Source organism: Homo sapiens, chromosome 13, assembly GCF_000001405.40.
Source record: "Homo sapiens chromosome 13, GRCh38.p14 Primary Assembly".
NCBI lineage: Eukaryota > Metazoa > Chordata > Mammalia > Primates > Hominidae > Homo > Homo sapiens.
Genome location: NC_000013.11, coordinates 74,572,759 through 74,596,469, shown reverse-complemented (window position 1 = coordinate 74,596,469; position 23,711 = coordinate 74,572,759). Strand labels below are relative to the sequence as shown.

General features: G+C 37.3%; 1 annotated feature.

The window, feature by feature from the left end:
- Positions 20,998 to 21,511: an enhancer, noted in NCBI's record as "NANOG hESC enhancer chr13:75149096-75149609 (GRCh37/hg19 assembly coordinates)". NCBI's record gives its function as "activates a minimal SCP1, AML or CMV promoter by ChIP-STARR-seq in primed H9 embryonic stem cells {active_cell/tissue: H9 hESC(primed)}" and the evidence as "EXISTENCE:reporter gene assay evidence [ECO:0000049][PMID:30033119]".

The window sequence follows — 23,711 nt, the reverse complement described above, 5'->3', positions numbered from 1 at the left end:
TTCAAAACACCAGTTATTTTCACAACATAAAGATAGTGAGCAGAGATGGCGAATTTAAAGTGAGCTTTGAGATTATCCTTGGTTTTCACTTAAAAATTATAATTTTTGTTTTACAGAGACAGTATCAAGAATTGATCTAGGAAATAATAAAATCTTAAAAGAGATCCAAAATTAGTGTCAGAGTATAACCCACAACATTCCACAGCAATCAAACAAAAAGATAGTCTAAGATTTGCACTTATGATGCTGACTGATATATATAAATAAATAATCCACAGTTATAGGTGGGTTTCATAACAGCAGAGCCTGTTAAATTCAGAAATGTCCATTTTCCCATGCTGCAGACTGCTAAGTAAGATTGAATGGTTCCTGTTAAGATCAACAGATACTTAGAAAGCTTAATTTATATAGAAATGTTTTGAAAGAAAGAAATCACAATCCTTTGCTTGTTTATTGATGGTGGCTGTTATGAAGAGCTTGTTATACACTGTTCTTGTCTGTTCTAGGGGCAGAGCCTCAGGAATACACTTCTGGAGAAAGTCCACTGTCATAGAAATGAAAAACTGGCTCCTCCAGATCACCTTTCAGGTAAGCCCAATGAATGGCACTCTCTAACTTCCATCTCACTCAGGGATGATTTATTAGCAAGGAGTAGAAACACACCATCTTTCCTATAACAAAATGGTCCTCGGCCCCTGGTACTGCAGACTGGTAGCGGCCCGTGGCCTGTTAGGAACCGGGCCACACAGCAGGAGGTAAGCGGCAAGGAGTATGACCTCCTGAGCTCCGCCTCCTGTCAGATCAGTGGAGGCATTAGATTCTCATAGGAGCACAAACCCTATTGTGAACTGCAGATGGAAGGAATCTAGGGTGCCCACTCCTTATGATAATCCAACTAATACCTGATAATTTGAGATGGAAGAGTTTCATCCTGAAACCAACCCCCCACCCCCAGTCCGTGGAAAAAAAGGTCTTCCACAAAACCCGTCCCTGGTGCCAAAATGGTTGGGGACCACTGCTATAAGTGATAGAAAAAGAAAAAAGAAGGGAAGGGGAGGGGAAGGGAGGGGAGGAGAGCGGAGGAGAGGGGAGGAGGGGGGAGGGGAGGGGCACCAAAACTAAGAGAAAATGCTCACAGAATCCATTTAAGAGAAACTTAACTAAAAGAATCATGTATCTGGGTCTGTGTGGGTATGCAGCTCTGGGTTTGTTTGACAATGGCTCTTTCTATGTATTGGCTTCTGGTTTATTATTCCGTAAACTGTCTTCTTATTTGTCCGTATATACATGTCCCATGATGGCTGCGTGTTAAACCTTAAGTCTACAGAATATTTCTTTTAGATCACTACCTTTAAATAACTTCTTCAATGTAGGCCAGTTCTAAATTTCTAGGAAGAGGATCAGATTGACTCAGCAAGAGTCAGGTGTTCATTTCAATGAATCCTCTGTGAGCTGGAAGATGCATTTCTGTGATACATAGAATTGTATGTCTAGGCTATGGGTGCTATTCATATTGAGATCATTGGGCTGGTGGATAACTTTAGCAGGTTATTACTACTGCCTCCCAGTTTTGATAGCATTCCCCTTAAGATGTTTAGACAAAGAAAAATATCATTAGCAACATCTCTCCCATCGTCTGTCTGATTCTAATTCTTCAACTATGTTTTCTGAGCCACTAAGTGAAGGAACCAAAGCATCTTCTCACAAATTCTAAAAATAAACAAATGAAAACCAACTCCATGGTTCTACATCAAACAAAATAATGTTTATATAGCTGAAGATTGCATATCTAGGAAGGAAATGTTGTATTGATTATCTATTACTGCATAACAAATTACTCTAAAATTTAGCAGATTGAAACAACAAACACTGATTATTTCAGTGTCTGCGCGTCAGGAATCCAGGAGGAGTTTATCTAGATATCTCACAATCAGGGTGTTTCATAAGGCTACGATCAAGATACCGGACAGGGCTGTACCACCTGAAGGCTGAAGTGGGGAAGGATCTGCTTCTAAACTCATTTGAGTGGCTGCTGGCAGGTCTCCAGTCTTTATTAGCTGCTGATCATTTCTTTGCCACATGAGCCACTCCAGTATCGCTTTATCACAAAATTTAAATAACTAATCAACTATTAGGACAACAAATATTTTTTAAAGCTGAATCAACCAATATACTATGATAATTTATTTTTCTATTCTTCCCTTTTTTCTTTAGTTTTCTATAAACTTTTCACTATTTTTTTCTAGATACTCAACAAAATTCTCCAACAATTGTGAATATTATTCCATGTGAGCAAATTATAAAATAAACTATTAGTTCCTCTTTCTCTGTTTTTGGAAACGTTCTTCCAGCTATGTCCTGTCATCTGATTCAGATATGTATTGTTGATCACTAGCGCTGGCACTTCCCTTCACATTTCTGCTGAGTTTGATGGTCTTTTGTTTCTTGGATCTCCAGTGTTCTTTCTTGAATTGGTCCTTGTTATTTTGAAAAACATTCTCCAATACTTTTCTAAGAAAAAGCAGATGATCTTCCCCAGTGTTCGGACCTTCACAGTAGATTCATATTTTTGCTGGATATAGAATTTGAGGTTGAAAATATTTTCATACAGAAAGGCCTTTTAAAGGCAATACTCCACCGACTTCTAATTTTCAGTGTTGCTGTTGAAAAGTCTGAAGCCAGTCATTCAAATTCTTGCACATGACTTATTAAATACTTGCCTGATTCTTTTAGAATCACCTTTTTATTCCTGGTATTCTGAAATGTATGCTTTAGGGTAGGCATATGTTTATTGACGCAGGGCATTCATTGAATCTTTCCAATGAGGAAAATATAGTCTTCATTTCTGAAAATTATGAGCCATTTCTTAGATAATATCTGTACTTCTTTGTTTTTTCTGGATTTCTAGGGCTATAACACCTATTATTTAAGTAGTGGGCCTTCCTGATTAATCTTTAATTTTTAATATATTTTTGCCAAATTCTCTGTTAAACATTTGTTTCATCCTGAGATTTTGATATCATTAGCTAAATCTTTTACTGAATTCTGTTTTATATCTGATTTTCTAATTTCTTTTTCTTGGGAATTCTTTAATTCTTAAAGAATTAAATTCTTGGGAATTCTTTAACCTGGCTATTCATTCTTACTTAAAAATGAGTCACTAAAATCCTGATTGGTGTGAAATGACAAGGATGAGGAATGAAGGACCAGCAGATGTTTATGTTATGGAAATGTACTGATTTCTTAAGCTGTGGCAATCAATTTCTCCATGCTCTTGAATTTGACAGGGTGGGGAGAGAACAAGCAAGATAATGATAGTTTCTGTTTTGCTAGTAACATTTTAGGTTTTAAATGGAGGAATGGTGAGGAAGGTCCCAGAGTAGAGTATCTTGATTTTTACTTACTCTGCCCTTTTCTCAACCTGGATCTCAGTGCAGTTTCGCTGAGTTTGAAGACATTTCTCCAAAAGCTTCACTCTCAGTATCCCCTGGTTGGGGTGAAAGTTTGGATGTTGGAGAGTAAGGGAGAGGAGGGCTAGTCTTGACAGTGTGAGATGTGTCAGGTGAGATGTGAGATGTGTCAGGAGCCTGCCCTGTATAGATCTTACACCAGTTCTATTGTGTTCAACTGCATTCTTGTGCTTCCAAATTCTCAAGATTAGATGCTGAAGAATCAGAATTCTCAGGAATTTTTAGACACTTTCCAAATCATAAGTTAATCTGTATTTTTCATAAAGCTTTATTTGCATGTTTTTAAGTAATAGTAAGTGACCTAATAATAAGCAGTAAACCACTTTTCTGTGATAGGACCAAACTGAACTTGCAGGAATTTTTGACAAAATTTAAAAAAGAGTATTAAATGCATGACTTATGATTATTATGAATCAATATTATTATGACAAGATATTTATTTTAATAATCTATAAAAATCATCTCTATCCAACATAATCATTTGATAATAGAAAACACCAAAAGAAACAAAATAAATACTAAATAAAAATCATTCAAAGCATTGAAAGATAATATCAAAAATATGTAAAATATTTTAAAGTACTTTTCTTAATGTAAAATTTTAAAGCACACAAAGTTTTAATAGCCCTACCTAATAGTCTTGATTTTTATAACAAACATCCCATTTTTTTGGAAAAATTGCTTTCATTTTGCACTGATGGCTTGATAAAGTCCAAAGATCTTCAAGTTGCATATCAGAGTATATGTTACTTCATAAAAGTTTATCTCATTTTTTAATGATGAAAGTATTTCATCTGCCTTCTCTAAGTTTGGTTTTGCCATTGAATTTATGTTGCTTTTGATGATTCAAATTTTACATTGGTTACTAATTCTATGTCAGAATATTCCACAACAATTTCATATATTTTTCTCCTTGCATTTCTTCTGTTAAGTTATTTACAAACAATTGTAGCCTATGAAGTATTTTAAACACTAGAAAACGCCAGCTAACATTATTGGGTCATATCACAATAATATAACATTCTGATATTCCAACACAGTTAACAATACTATGCAGAATCACGTGTCAAAATTGTCAACTTAAGAACTTATTTTGCTTCCAGACTTATTTCTTAGAACAACATTCAAAGGATTTGTATAAAGTATACTATGTATATAAATGTATTAATATTCATTTTATTTGCAAGAATGATTCATCCTTAGCAGCAGACAGGACCACAGACACCTAAAACATGGCAACAACCACTGACGAGACGGTGATTGCTGCTCATCTACCTGCTCCTGTTCTGGTCCTGGAAATGTCCATCTTACGCTTCCATTCTGCGTACCAGTGATTCCTGCTCTTGCTTTCAACTTGACATCAGTCTATTCTTTCAAACTAGAAACATTGCTATGGTGATTAAGCTTTAATTCTAGCGGAGGAATTGTAATTTGTTTTCCTGTTTTCTCAACTGATTTCTCTCTGAATTCAGAAAAACACACAAATTTTCCAAAAATGCCGGAAAAGAATCCCCACATGGAAACACTATTCTATGGTTAACCTTCATTCTCTGTGTCTGGGATGCCTCCAATCATTAAAGCTCTCAAAACTCCATGGAGTAATAGATAACATCCCCGCTATGACCACCCCCGTAGACAATTAGGTTGAAACTCTTCTACCTTCCTAAATTGTATGTTTTCTTTCTGCTTCTCATCTCCTTGAATTTTAATAAATCTCTCATCTGCTATATTTTCTCTTCTTTCTAGGTTATTTTATTCCTGTGAATTAATATCTTTGCACTAATATCAGTGAGATTTGGGGGGTTTGAAAAAAGATAAACGAGAGGCATGAACCTAATATTTTTACTCATGCCTCTCCTTGCCCTTGGTAGTTAACTTGCCTACCTACAGTTGATAAGAGAAAATATTTAAAAAGAATAAATAATATAATAAAGGGGCTGGGAGGAAACTTTTGGAAGTGATGAAGATAGTCATGGTCTTGATAGAGGTGACCATGTATACTTATCCCCAAACTCATTGGATTATATACATTAAATATATATAGTTTTTCACGTGCCAATCATACTTCAATAAAATGGTCTAAATAAAGAAAGAGAATAAAACACTTTATGTATCTCACAACTTAACTCCACCCCACATCAGTCACAGGTTAGAGGACAAATAATGAACTCTATACTCAGGCCATGTCTGTCAGTTTATCTCACCCAAATATTTAAAATTGCTGTTGAAGCCTGAGAATGGTAACTCATGCCTGTATTCCCAGCACTTTGGGAGACCAAGGCAGGAGGACCACTTGAGGCCAGAAGTTCAAGACCAGCCCAGGCGACATAGTGAGACACCATCTCTATCTACACACACACACAGACACACAAAAGAAAGAAAGCCAGGTATGGGGGCTTGCACCTGTAGTCTCAGCTATTCAGGAGGCTAAGGCAGAAGGACTGCTTGAGCCTAGGAGTTTGAGGATGCAGTGAGCTATGATTGCACCACTGCACTCCAGCCTGGGCAACAGAGCAAGACCCTGCCTCTACAAATAAAATAAAATAAATAAAATAAAATAAAATAAAATAAAATAAAATAAAATAAAATCTACCAGGTTAAAAAATAGAAAATGAAAATCTACAGACTAGGGTTTTATTTACTATCTTCTGTTTAATTTTATTCCCCTTTTTTCATTTATGCATTCAGTAATCAATTAATTGACCGCCTCCTATGTACCTATCTTTGAGCTAAGTATCCTGGTGATAAAATGAATGATTCACAGCCTTGGTCATCCAGGAATCCAAGTCTAGTCTGGAATAGATAAATAGATAAATAGATAGATAAATCAACAAATAGCCCATCATATCTAACAAATATATATCCACCAAATGTTGTAATGAAGAGAGAAAAGTGCTTATCTGCCAGAAAGGATCTGGAAGGTTTCCCAGAGGACCAAAACACTGAGCTGCAATAGGTAAGATGGAGGTAGTCAATCCCAGGACAAAAATATCCAAATAGAGTAAAGAGTATGAGAAATGCCCTGAAGAAAAGAGCAAATGAATCCTAAATATCCTAAATGAAAGAGAAAATGTCATTTCCGAGATGAGCAAGAAGTGTCACGAAACTGGAGAATAAGGTGTTCAGATAGACAGTACACGTGGAGAGGTTAAAAGTGCAGACTGGAAAAGACCGTGAAAGGGAAGTTTGGCATTTATGCTGAAAGTAGAGATGTTTTAGGCATAAGAGTGATGTGATCATATTTGCATTTTTATAAGAGAATAGCATGATGTTGTGGGGTTTTGGTGAGGAGCCGAGAGAGGCAGCAGGTAGAATATTCTAAGAAAGCTCTCATACTAATTCAGAGGGAAAGGACACCAGCCCAAAAGTTATGGGTTTGTTTGTTGTTTCGTGGGGAAGTCAGGAAATTAAGTGGACATGTCATGTCCTCTGAGAACACTTTCCTGACCACCCTACACATCTGGGCTTTGACCCTCTATTTTGTTTCATAGCATGCTCACAACAATCACACAGTTGATCAGAATTTCATGTTTAGCTATTAGGCACCTTGAAGGCAATGGTGATCTAAGAGTCTTATTTACCATTTTAGGACCTAGCAGTATTGTATGGGCACCCAGTATTTGTTGAATAAATGAAACCCAACTCTCTGAGACTCTTCAGGCAGATTCTTACACTCTCCTTGCTTCTAGCAAATGGAAAATTACCTTACTGACATCTGCAGCATACACACCAGAGGAGCCCAGGAGTGGTGGCCAGACCAGCAGCAGCTGTATCAACTGGGAACTGCTTAGGAAAGCTGTCTTGGTACCCACCCCAGACCTATGGAATCACAAACGCTGGGGTTGAAAGCCCAGGAATTGGTGTTTTAACAAGCTTTCCACATCATTCTGATGCAAGCTAAAGTTTGAGGCTTTACATGATATATTCTGTTCCAATAATAACTTGTCTTTGCTAAGAGATCATCTGTCCTAAGTTCTTTTACCTTGCTTTAAATCTAGTTTTGGTGTTCGATAGCCCCAAATCTGTAAGCATGTGTCTCAGTTTGGGCTGCTCTAACAAAGTACCATAGACTAGGTGGCTTACAAGCAACAGAAATTTACTTCTCACAGTTCTTGATGCTGGATGTCCAAGATCAATCAGGGTGCCATCATGGTTGAGTTTGACGAGAGCTCCTCTTTCAAGGTCCAGAGTGTTGACTTCCTGTGGTATCCTCACATGGAAAAAAGACGGCAAGAGCGCTCTCTGGGATCCCTTTTATAAGAGCATTAATCCCATTAATGAGGGATTTATCATCTCCCAAAGGCTCCACTTCCTAATACCATCCTGTTAGGGGTTAGGATTTCAACATATGAATTTGGAGGGGAACACAAACATTTCATTCATTGCAGCAAGGTTATATAGGATGAGAATGGTGTGAAATGAGGACTTCTTTAGTTGTTCTGAGTAAAAAACGCAATAATCAATACTTATCTAGTTATAAAAGATCTCCATGCTTATAACTTTATTTCATGAACAAGTACTTGTTTAATGGAACCAACCCAATGACTCTCCTGAGAAGTACAATAGACCCCTCTTTAAGGGTACGATTCTGACTTACAATGAACAGAGACACAGCAAGTTGAACCAGATTGCCATATTGTCATTCTATGGGTTTCTTTGGTCTAAATTCTCTAACAAATGACAATGTGTCCGTTGCTGGGTTGGAATCAGTAATATTTCATCAAAATGTGTCCTTGATTGATTTTATTTCTGCCAGAATTCCTGCTCAAGTCCAGCACTGGGCCTTCAGTCGTCCAGGCCAGCAGGGTATCCTAATCTCAACCTGAGTTAAAGTCTTAATAAAAATACTACCAAGATGGACACAATTTTTTTTATTAAGTCAAATAAAAATGATAATGCCGGTAACGACATATTTGTCTCACTTAAACAAAAGTGACAGTAAGTCACTCTAGGAGGGCTTACGCATACACAAACACACTCACACACAAATCCTCTTGTTCGGTTTTTTGCATTCTTAGTATTGTAATCATTTCTTGTTCTACTATGTCGCACCTTCACAGTGAATATACATTATACAGCTCAAGCATACTGATTTTCACTTCATGAATCTATAAACCCTATAATTCTTACCCCAAACCTAGCAGTTTAACCTGTCTTTGGAGGAATGATTTAATAACAGAGACTTGTAATGAGAACTCTTATCACTAAAATGTCACTGTATTTACAAAATATACTACAGGGCACTTACTAAAATACTATAAAGTGCTATCATAAATCATTTAGCGTAGGCTACCCTTTTAAAAATACATTAATAAAACAGAAATAGTTCAGTATCCCTGACTTTAAAAACATCTATTCTTTCTACTCTGAAATATTGTGAGTGCTCTCAGTTACTATTACTTTGTGGTGTCTTTCTCATGTTCAACACTCTCTTAATAGTCTTAACCAAACATTCATTTAAAAATAACCTACAGTCCATTTTTACTATATTAATAGATAATAATAGAATATATGGGGAGTTAAGGAGGTGAAGAAAGGTAGGAAACTACTATTCACTGAATAAATAATAAGTATGTTAATAATGATAATACTTCCATTTACTATTATCTAATGTGTGATAAGAACAATCTTACATGCCTCATGTAGGCAGGATGCTAAGTAGATATTAAGTAGATGCTAAGTAGATATTAAGGAGACTTGTGAGGCAGGTGTTATGATCTCCATTTCATAGGACAGGAAACTAAGGCAAAAGAAAAATCAGAATAGGAGTGGAAATGGAAAAAGAACTGTGTTTTAATCACCTTTTAATTTGTTATTTCCCCCAACCCCAGAATATTCTGTATTCTTAGTTGGAATACATAAGGTATAATAAGATAAGTGACCTGCCCAAAGCAACACAGCTCATTAGTGACTAAGAGCGGATTTAAACTCTATTCTGTTTGATTCTAAAATTCATGTACATTCCACTGTGCTGAGCAACCTCTCACTCATGTTTTGGATATAGAGAGTGAGGAGTTTTCTTTTGCCCTTTGAATGAATGGGAAAATGATTAAATGACCTTAAGTCAGTGGCAAGAAGATACCTTTCCAATGTATTTTCTGAGTATAGTCAGGGAACTCTGAGATATGTAATCTCAGAAGAACCAGAAAGAATGTTTTGAAAAAGGAATTCCTAGTAAATTTTCCAAAGAGAGGGGGAAAGCATTTATTCTTCCATGACATCTTTGAAAGCAGAGAGACAAGCAATCACAAGCACTGGCATCATGAACCTAGACATTCAACTCTCTACTGCTTACCAGAAACTGCCTTTTAATATCCACATTTTCAGTCTTCAGCCAAGAAGACAGAATAGTCTGGGGCAGAGGAGAAGAGCAAATTCAAAAGAGCTTTTTAAAACACAGTTCTTTCTCCACGTCCATGCTTATCTTGATTCTTCTCAACCATTGTGCAGACTCAGATAACCTTAGACCTTTGATTTTCAAAATTATTGCAATCAGGCCCTAATGATATTTTGATCATTAATGTTTCCTTCTTTGAAAAACAAAGACAACCAAATGTTAACTGCTTCCTAATAAAAAGACGAAACTTCTAAAACACTCTTGCCAAAAATCAAATCTGATTCTCCCCAAATCTTTAGCACTACCCACCAATATTAAGACATGTAAGGGATAGAGGTACATGTTAAATGATAAAAAGGACAAACTCAGCAAAATGCAGAATATGAGACACTCTACAGAACAAAAGTCCCAGTTTCTTCAACAAATATATCACGAGAAATAAAAAAAAAAGGGATGAAAAAGAGACAGAGTCTCACTCTATCTCCCAGGCTGGAGTGTAGTGGTGCGATCTTGGCTCACGGTAACCACCTCCTGGGTTCAAGCGATGAGTAGCTGGGACTACAGGCGTGCGCCACCACACCCAGCTAATTTTTGTATTTTTAGTAGAGATGGGGTTCCACCATGTTGGCCAGGCTGGTCTCAAACTCCTGACCTCAAGTGATCCACTCGCCTCAGCTTCCCAATGTGCTGGGATTACAGGCGTGAGCCACCGCGCCTGGCCAGAAATTTTGTATTAAAAGAGACTTATCAACTAGTTGCAATGTATGGACATTACTTATTTAGACACTAGTTGAAACTTTAGAAAGAAGTTATGAGAATATTGACAGAACATTTGATGACATTATGGGATTTGTGTTAATTATTTTAGATATGACTATGGAATACTGGAAATGTTTTTTACAAGAGTCCAAATTCTTAAAATTATATACTGCAATATTTATGCATGAAGTTATATGCTTTCTGGTACTCTAAAAATAATAATAATAATTTTGCTGGGCTCCAGTGGCTCATGCCTGTAGTCCCAGCACTTTGGGAGTCCAAGTCAGGCAGATCATTTGAGCCCAGGAGTTCAAAACCAGCCTGGGCAACATGGTGAGACCCCGTCTCTACAAAAAATACAAAAATTAGCTGGGTGTGGTGGCACGTGCCTGTAGTCCCAGCTACTCAGGAGGCTGAGGTGGGAGGATTACCTGAGCCCAGGAAGTTGAGGCTGCAGTGAGCCATGATTGTGCCACTGCACTTTAGTCTGGGCACCAGAGTGAGATCCTGTCTCCAAAAATAAAAATAAATAAATAAAATTTAATAAATAGAGGTAAAAACAGTAGAGGGAAGTATAGATGAAATATTCTGTGTGGTGATGATTATTGAAGTCAAATCATGAGTAGTATATGAGAGATCATATTATTCATTATTTCCTCCATTTGTATGTGTCTGAAATATTTAGTAATACAGTTTTTTAAAGTTTATTTTAATCTAATATAAAATCAACCAGTAACTTATTGTGTATTTCACATGAACTGGATAGTGCTCTGAAGATTAAAAGATATTAAAATCTCACCAGGGATAGGACATATAAATACATGCAATAATTCACAACTCAGTTTCCTGAGTGAATTCTACTATACTATTTTTACTATCTTAAGAAGACTAAGAAAATTATTCCCCTAAAGCTATACAGACCACCTGCCACTCCAAGTTACTTCTCAACTGACTGAAGTAACATCAACTCAGTGTGACTAACCTGGTTATCTCATTTTCTAAATATATTAGTTAGTATTTGATAGGGAAAACCTTCCAAAATAGATAGTGTTCTGTGTGAGATTTGGAGATTTAAAAATAGGTTCTCTTTAATTGTTATAAAACCTTAATGCTATGAACTCAATTGTGTCCCCTCATAATTCATGTTGACACCCTAACCCCTAATGTGACTATATTTGGAGTAAGGAAGTAATTTTTGTTAAATGAGATCATAAGGGTGGATCCCTGATAGGACAAGTGGCTTTCCAATAAGGTATACCAGAGAGCTCCCTAGCTCTGTCTGCATCTGTAAGAACACAGTGAGAAGGAGGCCATCTGCAATATAGGAAAGGAGACCTAACCAGAAATTGAATCCGTTGGCCCCTTAATCTAGACTTTCCTCCCTCCAGAAACGGTAAGAAAATAACTTGCTATTGTTGAACCAACTAGTGTATGGTATTTGCTACGCCAGCATGAGCTGACTATGATGCTTGGTGTGTATAATAATCACCTCTTGAGATCATTAAAAAGAAATGAAGAAGAAACTATAAATTTATAATTGTACATTTAGATACTCAGATTCCACCAGGTCCCACCCAAGCGTCTGTAGTTGTAAGAGGCTCATAGGTGATTATGGCACCCGTAAGAGATGGTATTTATACTCATACTCTTACCAAGTAGGTGTGGGAAACTCTGCAACAGAGGGAAGAGTCCTGGTCCTTGTGCTGTTCTACCCCTGCTCCCCTGCTCCCCTGCTCCCCTTCCCCGCTTCACTCTGTATTCCCAGCAAAGCAAGTGGAATGGTATTCTTTTCTCTTTCCAAATCAGATGGCCAATTTAATAATGTTTAAAGAACTTTTCCAGCCAAAGCAGCTATGGAGCCCAAAATGTTCTCACTAAGTGGAAATGTCTGGGAAGGTTTCTGTAGTACTTTATGCACAACACTTTGTATCTGCCATCCCCAACAGAGCACAACTGCACTCTTAGCTCATGTGCTATTGATTGATAAATGTATGTACAGAAACTTGTAGATTCCTGCATCTGAATAGAACAATCAAGTTTGTGGGCATAGAAGAAATGGGTCTGTGTTTCATTTTAATCATTTTCACTAGTAATACTCCAGATTACTGTCCCATTGAATCAGTGGTTCATTAAAGAAGCCAGATTTACAAAGTTAGAACTAGAAATTCCCCATAATTTTAAATTACAAAATAATTCAAACATAAAAATGTAAAAGTCAGTAAAGTACTAATGCATCTACTGATAAAAAAAACTCATGCTATCATAATTAAAATCTTAATTTAAGTGAACTTGTTACTGTATAATTTTTATATAATTACATTAATCAATTTTAAGTATAAATTTAGGTACATTCTGACAAATATATACTGTCATATAAAGACCAGCACAATCGTTATATAGACTACTTGTATCATTCCAAATATTCCCTCCTTTCCCTTTGCAGTCAATTCCTTCTCATTTATCCTAGCTCCTGGCAACCACTAATCTGCTTTAAATGAGATGGCAAGTCATAAACTGGAAGAAAAGTTTTACAAAATATTTGTCTGTTTTATACCTAAAAAAAATTCTTATAACTCACTTAGATAACCCATGAAAAAATATTTTCAAATGATTCTAATAAACACTTTTCCAAAGAAGATATATAAACAATAAATGAAAAGATATTTAGCATCATTAGGCATTAGGCAAATACCTATTGAAATCACAAAGAGATATCACAAAATCCATTCTACTAGTGATAGAATGGCTAAATTTTAAAAATCTGACAATACCAAGTTTGCATGAATATGGAGCAACTGTAACAAGGCTGGTGGGAATGTAAAATTGTGCAGTCACTTTGAAAATTTTCATTATTTTTATGAAGCGAAGCTTATCGTCAGACCCAGCAATCCCACTCCTGACAACTGAAAAACCGTCTATACATAAACTTATGTTTGAAGGTTTATAGCAGTTTGTCAAATCTCTTTATTTAAAACAAAAAGGCAAAAACTACCACATTATAGATGCAAATGAAGGCAATTCCTCTATGTGGTTCTGCTTCCATTCTCTTTTCAGAGATAACCACTATCCTCAAGTTGAGGTGTTTTCTTCTTACAAGGGAGTTTATTCTGTTACTACACAAGCATGCTTCTGTGAAAAAGTAGCATTGTTTTAGAAAAAATATATCTAAATCATATAATTTTGGATGTAGCCTTTTACAATTTGCTTTATTCATGTAACAGCATTATTTTTAGATTTATCTATGTTTCAATGTAACTCTAGTTCACTCATAGTTATTACTATACAGTAGTTCATGGTATAGATACATGATATGTATGCAATTTTCTATTAATGGACATTTAGGTTGTTGCAAAGTTCTTTGCTATTACAAACAATGTTTCAAGGTGCAAGAATGTTCACACTTTCTTGTCTGTGTGTAAGTCTCTTGAGTGTGTTGGAACCATTTCACCCTAGAAATGGTTATAGGATATGCATATATTCACGGCTATTAAGTATTACCACATTTCTCTTCAAAGTGGTTGTGCTGGATATTTGTCATCTGTCCTTTGTGACAATGTCCATCCTTTTCCACACTGCTCTGCAACCCCAGAGACTAACCTTTATGAACTTGGTTCCCATCACTTTAAGTTTCTGTTGGGTTTGGCCAATGGGAGTAGATATTAGAGGGCAGAAGTTGGAGAGTAGTAAGGTCCCTACCTGGTGGGATGTAGTTTATCAGTCTCGGAAGTCTTCTATAAGGATCACAGTTTCAGCTGGATGGCTATTTCTAATAAGGACAGCTGTCTGTGTCATCATCCTTCAGGTCTAAAGGTAGTAACAGCTTCCTGCAATTACTAAACCTATGGTGCTCCAATATCCCTTGTCAACCCTTATCCCTTACTCTCAGCTTTGTAAATAGTCTAGTCATTAAACTCTCTTCAATTACTTCTTTGAAGTGTGACATCTGTTTCCTGCTGGGACCAATATGATGGTTTTCCAATTCACATACCCACTTATGAGAATTCCTGTTTCATCCTTGCCAATACTTGATATTAACATATTTGTTCATTTTTGACAATTGGATGAGAGTGAAATGAAAAATCATGATAATCTTAATTTGAATTTCCTGATTAGTAGAAGTATAGCATTTTTCACATTTACATTGGCCACTTAGATCTCTTCCTCAGGGAATTTTCTGTTCATCTTCATTACTCATATCTTATTGAATTGTTGATCTAATTGATTTGTAGGAATTTTGTATATGTCCTGAAAACTAATACTGTATTAATGATGAATGTTGAAAATATCTCTCCATAGTTTGTGGCTTTTAAAAAATTATTATGGAAGCTTTTGTTGTGCAAAATTTTAAATGAAGTCATTTATCAATATTGATGTATTTTAGCTTGCTTAGGAAATATTTTCATTCTCCATATCATTAAATTCCTCTCCTATTTTTTCTACATTAAATTTTTTTCCTCGTGTATTTTATGCATCTGGAATTTATTTTTGTTTATGGTATGTTGATATAATGTAATTATCTTCCATATGGATAGCCAATTGTCCCCAAAGCTTTCCATGAATGGCCTATACATTTCTCATTAAATTGTATTGCCAAATTTGTCATTTCACAAGTTTCTTATGTGCATTAGTCTGTTTCTTTGCCCCACATTTTATTCTACTTTTATTTGTCTGACACTAGACCAATATCAGAAAGCATGAATTATTCTAGCTGTATAGGGTTCTCCTAATAAGAATGCTTCCATTTTATTCTTCCTTAAGTTGTTTTTTATTATTTTTGGCCATTTATTTTTTTCATGTGAATTTTAGAATAAGCTGGCTAAATTTTTCAAACATAAGCATTTTTTGGATTTTTTATCAGAAGTACATTAAATCCTTAGATTAAATCTGGAACTGACTTCCCTAATATTGACTCTTCCCATCCATTCATGGATGTAGTGTGTGTGCACAGATATGCATGTGTGTATATATGTATATTTATATGTATACATGCATGTGTGTGTATATATGTATATGCGTATACCCCTCATTTACCTCTCAAGTTTGAGAACTTTTTCCATAGAGATTTTGGATGTGTTTTGTAAGATTTATTCCTGAATACCCCAGATCAAGCAGATTTATTACTAAATACCTTAGCTCAAGCTTGTCCAACCCGTGGCCTGCAGGCCCATGTGGCCCAGGATGGCTTTGAATGTGGCCCAACACAAATTTGTAAAGCTTAAAACAATATGAGCTTTTTTTGTGATTTTCTTTTTTAGCTCATCAGCTATCGTTAGTATTAGTGTATTTCATGTGTGGCCCAAGACAATTCTTCTTCTTCCAATGTGGCCCAGGGAAGCCAAAAGACTGGACACCCCTGCCTTAGATGTTGTTGTTACTATTGAGGATGAGACCATTATATTCTCTAATTGGTTGTTGCTGTTACATAAAAATGCTAAGTATCAAAATTTCTGTTTTGAGATTTAATTCTGCAAATTTTCAGAACACTAGTAGTGCTGATTCCAATTTTTTAAAATTAATTTTATTTATAAATAATCATATCACTTGAAACAAAATTTAATTTTATTTCATCCTTTATAATTCTTATACCCCTACCTTTAAAAAAATTTCTTTCTTTTTCTGTCATATTACATTGTCTGAACCCTTTAATAAAATGTTGAATAGTAGGAGTAAAAACAGATATCCTTGTACTAGCCCTGACCCTAGAGAATGCTTCTAACCTCTCGCCATTAAATATGATGTTCCTTTCAATGCAGTGGCAGATACCATTTGTAAGGTTAAGGAAGGTTTTTGTTTCAACAGACTGCTAAAAATTAGCATCATGAATTGGGATTGAGTTTTTTACATATTTTTCTACATTTATTTATCATTTTGGTTTGTATGAACTCAGTTAATATTGTCTCATATGAGTATATCGACATATTGAAATTAAACTATTTTTCACTCATTAAGAACATGGTTTAGTATATTTGATGTGCTATTTTTTTTATCTATGATCATAAACGGGATTGGTCTACAATGTTCTTTTCTTATATTGTCTGACAAATGTTTAGTAGTATATAATTTTGGATGGAAGGTGGGGGTATAGGAGTTGTTTATAAGATTTTTTTATCACTTTTTGTTATTTGAAGATTTACTGAGTCTAGATATAGACTTGGTTTAATTTATCTTTCTCAGAATTAAGAGGGCTTTATCAATATGTTGATTCATATCTTTCACTAATTCTAAGAAATTTCTTGCCATTATGCGAGCTGAGCATACTCTTTTACCACATTTTCTCTCTGTTCTCCTTTTAGAATTCCACTTTTGGTTATTCTTATTCCATCCTGCAGGCTTTCTGACATATCATTTGTCACATTTCTTTATGTACTAAATTCTAGTTAATTGTTCAGGTCTATTTTCCAATTCACAAATTTTTCATTTCAGCTGTGTCATTTCAATATCATTTTTCATTAATAGAAAATCTCTTTAAAATATTCTATTTATTTTTCATGGTGATCTGTTCATTACACATGTTCTACGTTTTTTCTTCTTAAAAATTTTAAAAATATAGTTAGGTTCATGATTTTCAGATTTTTCTATTTTCTCTAGCACTCTTAGTTTGTTTTATGTGTTTTCTGACTTGATGCCATGGTCTATTCTTATTTCACACAGTTGCATTTTCCAAGAAAGTCCCACAGAAAAATATTTGCCATAGCATCCCTACAGATTTATGTTTTCTTTTATACTCCATTAGGGGAATTATCAACCAAAGGTCTTTTTTGTGTGTTAATTTCACAAATCTGGAGTCCCACCTTGTATTAGTCCATTTGCACGCTGCTGATAAAGACATATCTGAGACTGGGAAGAAAAAGAGGTTTAATTGTACTTATAGTTCCCCATGGCTGGGGAGGCCTCAGAATCATGGTGGGAGGCAAAAGGCACTTCTTAACATGGTGGCAGCAAGACAAAATGAGGAAAATGAAAAAGCAAAAACCCCTGATAAAACCATCAGATCTCGTGAGACGTATTCACTACCACTAGGACAGTATGGGGAAAACCGCCCCCATGATTCAAATTATCTCCTATCAGGTCCCTCCCACAACATGTGGAAATTATGGGAGTATAATTCAAGATGAGATTTGGATGGAGACACAGAGCCAAACCATATTACACCCCACATAGGTTGTGAGTAATGTACAGGCTGGCTTTGGACACTTGTAATGAGCAGTGTTGTTTCAACATCTCACACACTCCACATGTCTTCCTTGGTCCAGAGGGAAGGATTTCTCTAATCCTCCTTTCATGGAGTAGGCAACCCTTCCTAAGTCCTGGCCTTATGCAAGAACATCATTTCTACCCCCTTTCCTTGCACAAGTTCCTTGTCATGCCTTTGACCCTGCATGGGCAATGAAATTTCAGGCCTCGGCATTGGGCTTGTGACTGAAACTTACATCACCCCAAAGCTGCCCCAGTGTAGGCTCGTATGCAGACTTCTCAAGCTTTGAGTTTCCTCTTTGCATCTGAAGATTCCCATTATTCCTTTCATAGATAGATAGATAGATAGATAGATAGATAGATAGATAGATAGATAGATAGAATATTATACAACATATCTACATGTTAGAGATTACAGGAGGTAGGGCAGTCCACTTTATCCCCTCCTGCCATAGTGCTGGAAACAGATGTCTGGTGTACTTCTGTCCTTCACTGTTGTCTGTAGCTCTTTTCACTCCTAACCTCTGCCAGGTAAACTGGGCATTTTTATCATTACATAGCCAGTATGGTGAAGGTCCTGGCTAATGATAGGAACTATTAAAAAAAAAAAATCTTGCATTTTATTTCCCAAGCTTAGAACTGGACTAAATTTTAACAAGGACCAACACAACTTTGCTACTCTTATTGAATCCTTTGACACATCACAGCCTTCTCTACCATAGTTAGACACAGACCAGCACTTTGCAAGTCAAGTAGCTTTGGCCCTCTCCTAATCCAACCAGAAGCAGGAAATCCCAGTGTGTTCCTAAGATGGTCTGTAAAATTGTCAGTGGTGTTTCAAATACTCACAAGATTAAGATTGTTTGATTGAATTACAAAAAGTATTTCAGATTTAAAAATATGCTTTTATAAGAAAATAAACACAGTTCAGTTGTATTTAAAATCGTAATGTATTTTTATCAAGTACACACCGTTCATCCTAAGCATGCTCTGTTTTCACTAATTTGTAGTAGGAACCCAGCACAGCATAAACTGGCTTTGCTTCAGATGTCTTTGTTCATCAGTGGGAAAATAGTCATCAGGATATTCAAAAAGGCATCAAAATTTTCAGAAGCACCAAAAGGGACCTTTGTAGTGATTCTAAATTTTCCATGGATTTCCTCTCAGTGGTTGTAAATATCCTTGAAAGGCCATATGAATTGTATCACAGTAGTTCAGGGGGAATGTTTGCTTATTTCTCAGCTGAGATATTTCTGTAAACAATAGGTCCCCATGAGAAAGCCAGATCCCTAATGTGGCTGATAATAGTTTGCTATATTTGCCAAATTGGAGAGTTTGGCAACATTATTTTCATTCTCTAACAGGAACTATTTCTTCCTTTGAGAGAACGAAATTATTTCAGAGTTGTATGTGAAACCAACAACAAGATGTTCACTTTGGGCCCCACAGTTTAAGAGACCTTTGGGTCATATGTTTTTATTATGCTTCCACGTCCTGTATTTAATACCTACTGAATTGAAGGTCTATGGCTAAAGTCAGAAGATGTATGGGTTCTATTTTGAACATTTTGCCTATACACTACAAAACTGATTTTCTTGGCTTCAATGAAATAGTCCTAGTTTTATGTTTCCTCTTGAGCGAGTATAAGCATATTCATTTTGAAAGCATCTAGGACAGTATTTACTAAGTAGCATTTTTTAGAGAGAGACACTAGTTTAGGCACTTTCACAAGCAGTGTATTATTTAATCTGAACCTATTCCTTTTGCAGGAGTGTGAAAGAAACATCAATCCAAGCTGTTAATTTTTAATGGCCAATTCCATTATCTCTTCTCCCATAATTTGTCTGCACTTTTTCTTTGCCTCCCATTCCCTAGCGCTAAAGTTCTCATTCATACCTTGGTCGGAACACACACATCAAGTGGCTTTGACACTCAGGTGCAATTACCAGTGATGCATTTGCCTCCATGCAAATGTCAGGATGTAGCAGCAGAAAGGTTACCTCCTTGCACTGCAGGGATAATCACTCTGTGAAGTGCCAAAGCTCTATTCACTTCATGTCCTTTTCAGATCCAATTCGAGGTTTCTCGCATCCGTCACAGAAACTGAGCCCTAAATCTGTGTCTCCTGGGACAGTCACACTAATTGGCCATCCCAGGTTTTGTTTTCTCTTAAGGTTCAGGAAGAGATGTTCCCATATGGAAATAGGAGGTTGGTCTGACTTATTGGGACCCATTCTTGCAGGGTGTTTAACCTTCAGGCTTTGGAGTGGTCAGTCATCTAGTTGACGTCTCAGGGGTTGAAAGTCAGGGGAAAGTGCCATCTGGATTCATTATGACTGTCTAGAATCTCTATCTCTTTCAGCTTGTGAAGGTCTCATCTCTTTGTCCTAATCTTTAATTATCCCATTAAGAGGAACAGGTGAAGCAAGGGGCGCTTCTGGGGTCTTTGGGAGAGAGAGTGGGAGATAGGAAAACAAAGAGACAGAGGGAGAAGATGAAGAAGAGCATTTGGGCTCTCCTTGTCGCTGCTGTTTTGCTCATCTCACCAGTTTGGAAAAGGGGGTAGGGACACACATGCTGGCTTTCTCTCCAACGCAGCTGAGACCTTTATGAAATCACTGCAGAGGCAGGGGCGGCAAGGCACTATTTTTATCTCCAAATTGATTCAGCTGCAGTCGCTGCTGTGCCTCTGACTTCATTGCTTCCCGGCCCTCCCCCTCGCTGTCCCCACTCCCAGCTTAGCCCGATTTGGAGACTTATCTTCAGCTTCCTGCGCCGCACCCTCCCCCCTCCTCCACGGCCTGGGGCCGGGCCGGGGCGGGCGGGCTCCTGCCGGATACTGATAGTGACAGCAGCAGATCGTGCCGCGGGCGCTGACGTCCCGCGGAGGCGCGCGGCCAGGCATCCGCGAGCCTCTCCGGGCCGCGCCAGCATCTAATTGTTCACTCTCCAATTTTCCCTGCCCTTGGGAACAGGGTTCCACAAAGAAATTTCATCAATTGAAATGCTGCACGCCTGAACATTTGCCAAATGTGTCCCATCTGACTAAGGTCTATGCTTTCAAATGTTGTTGCTAGGAAGAAAGGACATTTACACGCTGGGCTTGTCATCTTCCCTTCCTCCTAGGTTGATGTGGCTCCAGACCGAAGCTCCTGGAGAGAGTGGCTCGCCTCAAAGGACCGGAAGAGATTTTCTTGTTTAGGGAGGCAGAGGGACAGGGCGGGTTATACCACCCACCCTTGTTTTGCAGGTGAGGTTCCGAGTTGCCTCTCTTCTCCCTCTCTTTGAGATGCTGGGAGCTCTTCCAAAGCCGAGTGGTTTTCTGTTTCTCTCCATCCCCTGTGCCTAGAAAACAGGGGACTAGTCTTCAGAAATATTTGTTACAAGGAGCTCACAGAGTGTAGGCTCATTTTAAGTACAAACAACCTACCATTAGGAAAACAAAAGGATGTGTCAGTGGGCTGAAGATCCGGTGTCCCAGCAACTCCTTGGTTAATTGTCTGAACTCTCTGATTTCACATGGGCCTGACAGCACCCAGTGGAGACAAGTGGCAGGGCTGATTGAGTAAATGAGTGATGGAGTGACTGTCACTTGGGACAGGCAATGATAGTCTGTCTCTCCCCAAATGTTTTGTGTGTGTCAACGTTGTAGGAATGCTAAACTAGATCAAATTCCACCAGAAGGAATCTATCACCTAATAGGGAAGATGAGATATAAGCAAATCCAAAATGCAACTTACAAAACCAATGCCAAGATAGAGTTAAAGAGAAGATGATGAGAAAGATGTCCAAGGAAGGGCACAAATGGAGGCTTTTAGGATAACCTGACCTATGTACTGGATAATGATAAATGGGTATTATTTGAACATAAAATGATAGCGAAGAACAATATTCTAGGCCTGTGGTGGTGTGCAACATGGTAGCCACTATCCATGTGGACATTTAAATTTAAATTGGTTAAAATGGAATGAAAAATTCACCTCTTCAGTCACACTAGCCAATACTCAAGTACTTGATAGCCATGTGTGGCTAGTGGCTACTATATTGGAGAGTGCATATCAGTTTTATCATTACAGAAAATTCTACTGAATAGTGCTGCTTTTGAGGAAGAAAACAGCATGAACAAAGGCACTGAGGTAGGAAATCTCAGGATAAGTAGAAGGATCACTCAATAGCTTGGAGTGAGTGGAACAGCAGATGAATAAAAGGAAGCAATCGGAAATAAGGGGACCAGAGGAAGCAGGCTACCAGATATGAGGTTCAAACATTACATGTATTTTGCAGGTAATAGGAATCCTTAAGGTCTGAAAGCGGAAAAATGATATGATCAGAGCTATGCTTCTGAAATATAAATATGAACACCAAATATAAGAGTTTTTTGAGTGTCTTTTAGTTTTCAGAATCTGTACGCACCTATTATCTTGTTTAGTTCTCAAAACAAGCCTGGGAATAGGCAGAACAAATATAGGGGGAAAAAGCTTGCAAGGGCATGAGTGACTTGGCCAATGTCACTAGGGAGACAGAAAAATACTGAAAAGAGTCAGAAAAAACAAAAAATTCTTCCAGCTGTGAAAGACAACCTCCTTCCTCCACCACATTGCCCCATTGGTGAATTTTCCTTTTTATAACAGGAGCTCCTGATACACATTACATTCCCTTCCAAGAGGTGAATTACAGTATTAGATTACTGATAACCCTGAAGAGGAGGCAAAAGGCCATGTGACAAAGTGGCTTCAAATATGACATCGGTAAGACACAATCACAACAACAAATTGGAACCATTTAAAAGAAAAGCCTAAGGAGGATTTACTGTCCCCACCAAGGCTGCCTTAGGCTGTGTGCGCGGCGCCCCCTGGAGTTGGTCACCCACAGAAGCCCAGATCATCACCAGCGGGAGAAGAAAGCAGGTCTCATCTAAACGCAGAGGGAAAGATAGAGCTGAGAGAAGTTTCTGGTCCCTTGACAGAGCAGCTTGGGCCTGCCTGGGAACACTATTAAGAAGAAAGCACAGCGCAGGTATTCCAGAAGAGAAAAACTTGGAGATTCTCAAATCATACTTCATGGTTGACTTTGAACTCTGTGTTTGGGAAGATGAGCGTGAATCAGGCCATCAGACCAACTTACGATTGCTTTCTAGCCTCTGCATTCTAGCAGAGATAAGCTAATTAACTTCTCTGACTCTAAATGTTCTCATTTATAAAATCTATAAAATATAATAAATATCAGGATTGTTGAGAAGATTCAATGTGAGATGTATGATGTGTACAACATGCGAAGTGGTACAGTACGTACCCAATACACATAACTTTTAACTCTCCTGAAGACAAGTGTGTGATTTTTAAAACATACGTAAAAAGGCAAATGGGATCTTGCGGTTCCAGACCAGAAAAGTGAAGAACATTTATCAGACTGCAATAAAGTCTGTATTTCAGGTCCCCAGGAATTATTATCCCTCTCTTGGAAAAAAACAAAATTTTTTCCACCTCCCGAGTGAAAAACAGTAAATTTACAGACAGAATATTATCTGTTTCCTTGCCATCCATCCAGCTGTGGAGTTGAAATACAAACTGAGTTCGGGCTTCTGAGAGAAGGTTTATATGGATTTAGTAAGGTGCAAATCCCAGCCCAAAGGTAAAATTTGATATCCGTCACTGATAAAAATGCATTGCTTCAGGCCTGAACTTCTGTCTCCTCCTGCTTTTAATCCTGCTTTCTTTCTAAACGCCAATCAGTGGAGCAAATATTACCGGTCACCTCATTCCCTACATGTTATTACCTCTTTTATACAGTTTGGCGGTATATTCTGGGTATAAATAAGCTACAAATATTTATAGGGCAGGTCCCTCTTCGAGTTGCAAACATGTAACAATCACAACATAGAATGTCAAGAAGTCCTAACTATTTTTCTTTCTTGGTTTCTTCTATTTGGGGAAAAGGTTTTCTTCTAATGC